This window comes from Homo sapiens, chromosome 5 (genome assembly GCF_000001405.40).
Source record: "Homo sapiens chromosome 5, GRCh38.p14 Primary Assembly".
Lineage (NCBI taxonomy): Eukaryota > Metazoa > Chordata > Mammalia > Primates > Hominidae > Homo > Homo sapiens.
In genome coordinates this window covers 17,940,382-17,947,059 of record NC_000005.10, presented here as the reverse complement: position 1 = coordinate 17,947,059, position 6,678 = coordinate 17,940,382, and positions in this window count along the sequence as shown.

Genomic DNA, 6,678 nt, shown 5'->3' with positions numbered 1-6,678 from the left:
CCAACTAATCTTTGACAAAGCAAACAAAAACATAAAGTGGGGAAAGAACACCCTATTCAACAAATGGTGCTAGGAAGCCACATGTAGAAGAATGAAGCTGGACCCTCATCTCTCACCTTATACAAAAATTAACTCAAGATGGGTCAAGGACTTAAATCTAAAACCTGAAACCATAAAAGTTCTAGAAGATAACATCAGAAAAACTCTTCTAGACATTGGCTTAGGCAAAGACTTCATGAGCAAAAACACAATAGCAAATTCAAGAAAAACAAAGATAAATAGATTGGACTTAATTAAACTAAAAAGTTTCTGCACAGCAAAACAAACAATCAGCAGAGTAAACAGACAACCCAGAAAAGGGGAGAAAGTCTTTGCTTTCTGTACATCTGAGAAAAAACTAATATCCACAAGGAACTCAAACAAATCAACAAGAAAAAAAATTAAACAATCCCATCAAAAATTGGGCTAAGGACATGAATAGACAATTCTCAAAAGAAGATATGCAAATGACAAACAAACATACTCAAAATGAAAAAATGCTCAACATCTTTAATGATCAGGTAAAGGCATATCAAAACCACAATGCGAGAATAGCCATATTCAAAAAATTAAAAAAAATCCATGTTGGCATGGATATAGTGAGAAGGGAACAGTTTTACACTGCTGGTGGGAATGTTAACTGGTACAACCACTATGAAAAACAGTGTGAAGATTGCTTAAAGAACTAAAATTAGAGCTACCATTTCATCCAGCAATTCCACAACCGGGTATCTACCCAGAGGAAAAAAAAGTCGTTATATAAAAAAGAAGCTTGCACCCACATGTTTTTAGCAGCACAGTTCACAATTGCAAAAATATGGAACCAGCCCAGTGGTCCATCAATCAGCAAGCGGATAAAGAAATTGTGATATATATACCATGGAATTCTACTCAGCCATAAAAATGAATGAAATAATGGCATTCATAGCAGCCTGGATGGAATTGGAGACCATTCTAAGTGAAGTAACTCAGGAATGGAAAACCAAACATCATATGTTCTCACCTGTAAGTGGGAGATAAGCTATGAGGATACAAAAGGCATAAGAATGATACAATGAACTTTGGGCACCCAGGGGAAGTGGGGGGAGGGAGATGAGACAAAAGACCACACACAGCGTACAGTGTACACTACTTGAGTGAGGGGTGCACTGAAATCTCAGAAATCACCACTAAAGAACTTATTCATGTAACCAAACCCCACCTGTTCCCCAAAAACCTACCAAAATAAAAAATAAATAAACTGCAAGATAAACTCCACAAAAAAAGTATCAAGGAAAAACACAGTAACATATATGATAGTAACATTTGTGATATATGGAAACATATCACAAATTACACAAAACAGACATGCAAAAGATTTATTAGGGGAGATTTTTCTGAAGGACAAAGAGTAGAGGGAGAAGGACAAGGAAAGGTAATAATATAAGAACTGAAATAAATCTATATTAATTATCATATACCTAAGTGAAGATACATTTAAAAGATGGTAAAAAAATATGTTCTGAATTTGGTGTAAATGTTGGCCACATATGTGTTTGTGAAACTACTAGTTTAAATGCTTTTTATATTGATTGACATTGGATATGTAATAATGAAGTACAAGCATAACAACTTAAAATATATTTTTCAGTCAAAAAAAGAAAGAATGATACAAGAAAGCACTACCAAAAAAGAAGAAAATCAATTATCATCAGCCAGCTTTACATTTAATGGACTACAAGTTTTAACAATTTATATGGCACTCCAGTGACCAAAAAGAAAGATGTGGTCTTTGCATGATATAACTTATAATAAAAAGAGAAAAGCTAAAGAACAAGAATCACTGTGTAAATTTTATGTATGTGTAATATTATTGTAAAATTGAAGTCAATTTATAACTTTAGGTTACAGTTTATTGTTAACGATTACATCTACTTTAAGAATGGAACAACAGATCAAATTTACAGATGCAGAAACAAAAGACCTGAAAATGATGTAATTTCTGAAGGTGACGGCTTGATTGAGTAAGAAACAAATTCCAGATTTTTCTGACTCTAAGTGCTATATTATTTTCATCATAAAATAATGCCGAGTCAAGCAGCCATGATAAATGAAAAATGGCATCCCCAGTATTCATTATACAGCAATGTAAAACACTCAGATGCTCATGCAGTTTCTCTATTGGGTAGATGACCTGGTCATAGAAAACAATGACTTTTCCCTGAAAAGTAGGCAGAACTAGGTCTATAGCTGGCCCTGCTAAGAAAGTCCCAAGGTCAAAGCTGAATTGTTTCAGAGTTTCGAATTTACTGCAAACCCAGTGGGCCCCAAAATAATGATTATCCTGACCAGTCATGCTTCTAAATTCCAGAAGGCACGATGATGATTCAACAAATAAGAAAGCTCATAATAGCCTAATTCTCTGTAAAATGTGAGATTAAATCCCAGCAAGTTGTCTTCTGACGGGAGCTACATTTTCACATCACCGGATAATTCTGTTGATTATCAAGTATTATAAAATTCTTAATGCTTATAACCCTTTAGCATTCATACTTTACCCCTATGTGGTTGTGGGTATTGTAAAATATCACCAGTATATTGACTGTGTCTCTGTTTTCAAGAGAAATTTGAACACAAAATTTGCTCAACATAAGAACATAGCAATGAAGCCTCTCAATGCTCCCATGAAGCAGGCACTTAGTGTCCTGGGAGCTGTGTTGGACGGTTTGTCACCACTTACTGCTGGCCGCAGTTGCCATGGGGGGTAATTTGAGAAGCTGCACATGTTGCAGTGATTGTCCAAAGAACAGCAGACTGTCCAAATAGCTAATCAATCTGTTGGGGCCAAGCAGAGAGAAAGCTTCCAAGTAATGGTGCCAATGGCAGAGAAATCGGGGACACCAGACTGGAGAGAGGGTCCAAAGCAGATGGTGAGAGTTGTAGCCACCTGGAATAATTCTCTGGGTCAATTAGCAAGCACCAGTGGTGGCTTTCTGGGTAATTCTTCAAGCCATGGAAGGAAAAATGGCTGCCTTAAGAATATAGTTTGGAGTCTAAGGTGAGAGAGAGATTTTTTAAAATTTACCTTCCCTTTTTATCATGACTACCAGCTCCCTTATGTCATCACCTCATTCTCCACTAAGCCTGGACCCCATTGATGTTGACCTTAATTTCTATCCACAGGAAACATTATCTAACTTGCTAATGTTACCTTACATTAGGACCTTAGACGAACAGCACAGTGCTGGGTCTATTCCCGAATTTAGGCTACCAAGTACAATACAGAAAAAGAAAAGCATGCATTATTGTTAGACAAATTTCAATCTTCAGAGAAGATTGGGTTCTTCTGAGAAACAGGACCAATGAGATGTGTGGCGGGGAGTGGGGGGGAATATAGTATTGCCACATAATGATATTTTGGGCAACAATTGAATATAAAACAGCAACCCCATAAGATTATGATGGAACTAAAAAAATCCTATTGCTGGCCAGGAGCAGTAGCTCACACCTGTAATCCCAGCACTTTCGGAGGCCGAGGCGGGCAGATCACCTGAGGTTGGGAGTTTGAGACCAGCCTGACCAACATGGAGAAACCTCATCTCTACTAAAAATATAAAATTAGTCGGGCGCGGTAGCACATGCCTGTAATCCCAGCTACTCGGGGGGCTGAGGCAGGAGAATCATTTGAACCTGGGAGGTGGAGGTTGTGGTGAGCTGAGATTGCGCCACTGCACTCCAGCCCAGGCAACGAGAGCGAAACTCCGTCAAAAAAAAAAAAAAAAATTCCTATTGCCTAGTGACTGTATAAATCTGTAGCCATTACAGTGTTGTAGCACAATGCACTACCTTTTCTGTTTAGATATGTTTAGATACACAAATGCCATTGTGTTAAATTTTCTATAGTATTCAGTACAGTACCATGTGTACAGGAGATATATATATAGGAGATATATATATATATATATCAATAGGATATATATATATATCAATAGGATATATATATATATCAATAGGATATATATATATATCAATAGGATATATATATATATCAATAGGATATATATATATATCAATAGGATATATATATATATATTTTTTTTTTTTAATGGGAGATATATTATCTCATGTAGCCTGGGCATGTAGTAGGCATACCCTCTAGGTTTATGTAAGTACACTCTTTGATGTTCACACAATGAACATTATGAGCCCGTTTTCACACTGCTGCATACCTGAGACATGGCTAGGGAGGCCTCACAGTCATGGCAGAAAGCAAGGAGGAGCAAGTCACTTCTTACATGGATGGTGGCAGGCAAAAAGAGAGAGCTTATGCAGAGGAACTTCTCTTTATAAAACCATCAGATCTTGTGAGATTTACTTACTATCATGAGAACAGAACGTGAAAGACTTGCCCCCATGATTCAATTACCTCCCACCGGGTCCCTCCCACAACCCATGGGAATTTAAGGTGAAATTTGGGTGGGGATACAGAAAAACCGTATCAAAACCATTTCTCAGAATATATCCCCAGTGTTAAGCCACTCAGGACTCTGTGTGTGTATATTTAAATCTCTCTCTCTCTCCCTTCCTCCCTCCTATCTCTTTCTCCTCTCCCCAGCCCTCTCTCTGAGGTTATATACCATATGTATTACAGTCCTATATGTATAAATCTACTGAGAGAGAGAGAGAGATTATTTCAAGTAATCAGCTTATGTATTTGTGGAAGTGCAGGTTCAAAATCTGCAGGGTAGGTCACTAATCTGGAGATGCAAGAAGAGTCACAGTCTAAGCCTGAAGGCAGACAGGTGGCAGAATTCCTTCTTGACCAGGTGATATTAGTCTTTGTTCTATTAAGACCCTCAATGGAGTAGATGAGACCACTCACATTAAAGATCATAATCTGCTTAAAGTCCACTGGTCTAAACAATCATCTCAGAGGTCTCCAACCCTGGTCCATGGATCCATACTGGACTATGGCCTGTTAGGAACCCAGCTGCATAGCAGGAGGTGACCTGCGGACAAGTGAGCATTACCACCTGAACTCCACCTCCTTTCAGATCAGCTACAGCATTAGATTCTCCATGGAGCACGAACCCTATTGTGAATTACACATATGTGGAATCTAGGTTGTGTCTCATTATGAGAATCTTAAGCCTGATCTCAAAACCATCACCCACCCCAGCCATGGAAAAATTGTCTTCCACAAAACTGATTCCTGGTGCCAAGATGTTTGGGGACCACTGGTAAATCTCATTCAAAAGACACCTTCCCAGAAACATCCATAATAATGTTTAACCAAATATCTGGGCACTGTGGCCCAACCAACTTGGCACATAAAATTAACCATCACATTATGGATCCTGGACCTTCCACCCATTTCTCTTTACTGAGTTCCATAAATACGTAACATTGAACATTCCCGTGTGAATGTAGCATAGGCACCTTCAACTCCAGGGATGCAAAAGTGAGCTTTTCTACCCTAGAAAACCAGCTCTTTATCCTACATTTTCTGTTCTGTTCATCCACAGCATCATCAGTTACCTAGTCTCTAAGGCAGAAAGCTCGTTTATCTTTCTGTCTCTCCCTTATAATCAATCACAAACTCCTCTCACAGTTACTGCTTAGATATTTCTTGACTCTCCTTCTCATCTTGCCCCCTGACCCCACTGCTCTGGTTCACCCTTATGACACAGTTTTGGCTGAACATAATAAAAAGCCATGTGCTGAAGCCAGCCAAGAATGTCAGCCAGATACTCCCTAAGAACACCACTGCTGGACTGAAACTGACTCAAGTCTTTGAGGCTTCAATCCTCTAAGCCACATAACCATGGTCATAATATAGCTAGGACCTCATCCTCACTTGCCTCATTGTGCTGATTGCTGATACAACAACCACAGATGCCAGCTTTAAACACCGAAAGGAACACCTAAGGGACACACTTATCAGACAATTAACCATTCAAGCCACAGGTAAGTCTGTGTGGTCCAAAGATCCATGGAGCTCCAAGAAACTGTTAGAACCCAAATTCTCCATGTCCATTATCTTTGTTTAACAGCTAAGTACTAGCATCTATGCACATAAATACACACACACACACCCTCTGAGGACCCTCTAAGAATGCACCCCTCTCATATTTGCCTCATCAAAAAAGTCACCCACGGTGGTTGTTAAAAGTTCAAATTTCTTGTTCTGGGGATCATACCTGGGATGAAAACTGGAGAAATGTATTTTCACCTGGGTGCAGTTGAATTTTATGCATAGGAAAGTTTGGGAAACACTGCTTTACCAATATCATCTCCACAACTCACTGTGTGCTTTTAACATACAACAAATTCCTCTCTTCTCTCTTTTTCTCTTGCTCACTTTCTTCCCTTCCTACTATACCCCACCATTGTGCTCGCTAAAATTTCTCTGGCAAGATCATAAAGCCCCAATAAATTCTGAGCTTCTTTCCTGAATGCTAATCCTATGTTTTGACCAGGTTCTCTGCTAAGGACACTCCCTTGACATGTTTTCAATGAGGCTGCTCATACCGCATGTACATTTGGATTAGAAAGTTGAGGCTATATCTTTATTCCTTCCTTCTAATATTTGCATCTCTTGCCTTTTTAAAGACCCCTTTAGATACTTGTAACTGTGAACAGAGTGAGAGAAGGGCTGTA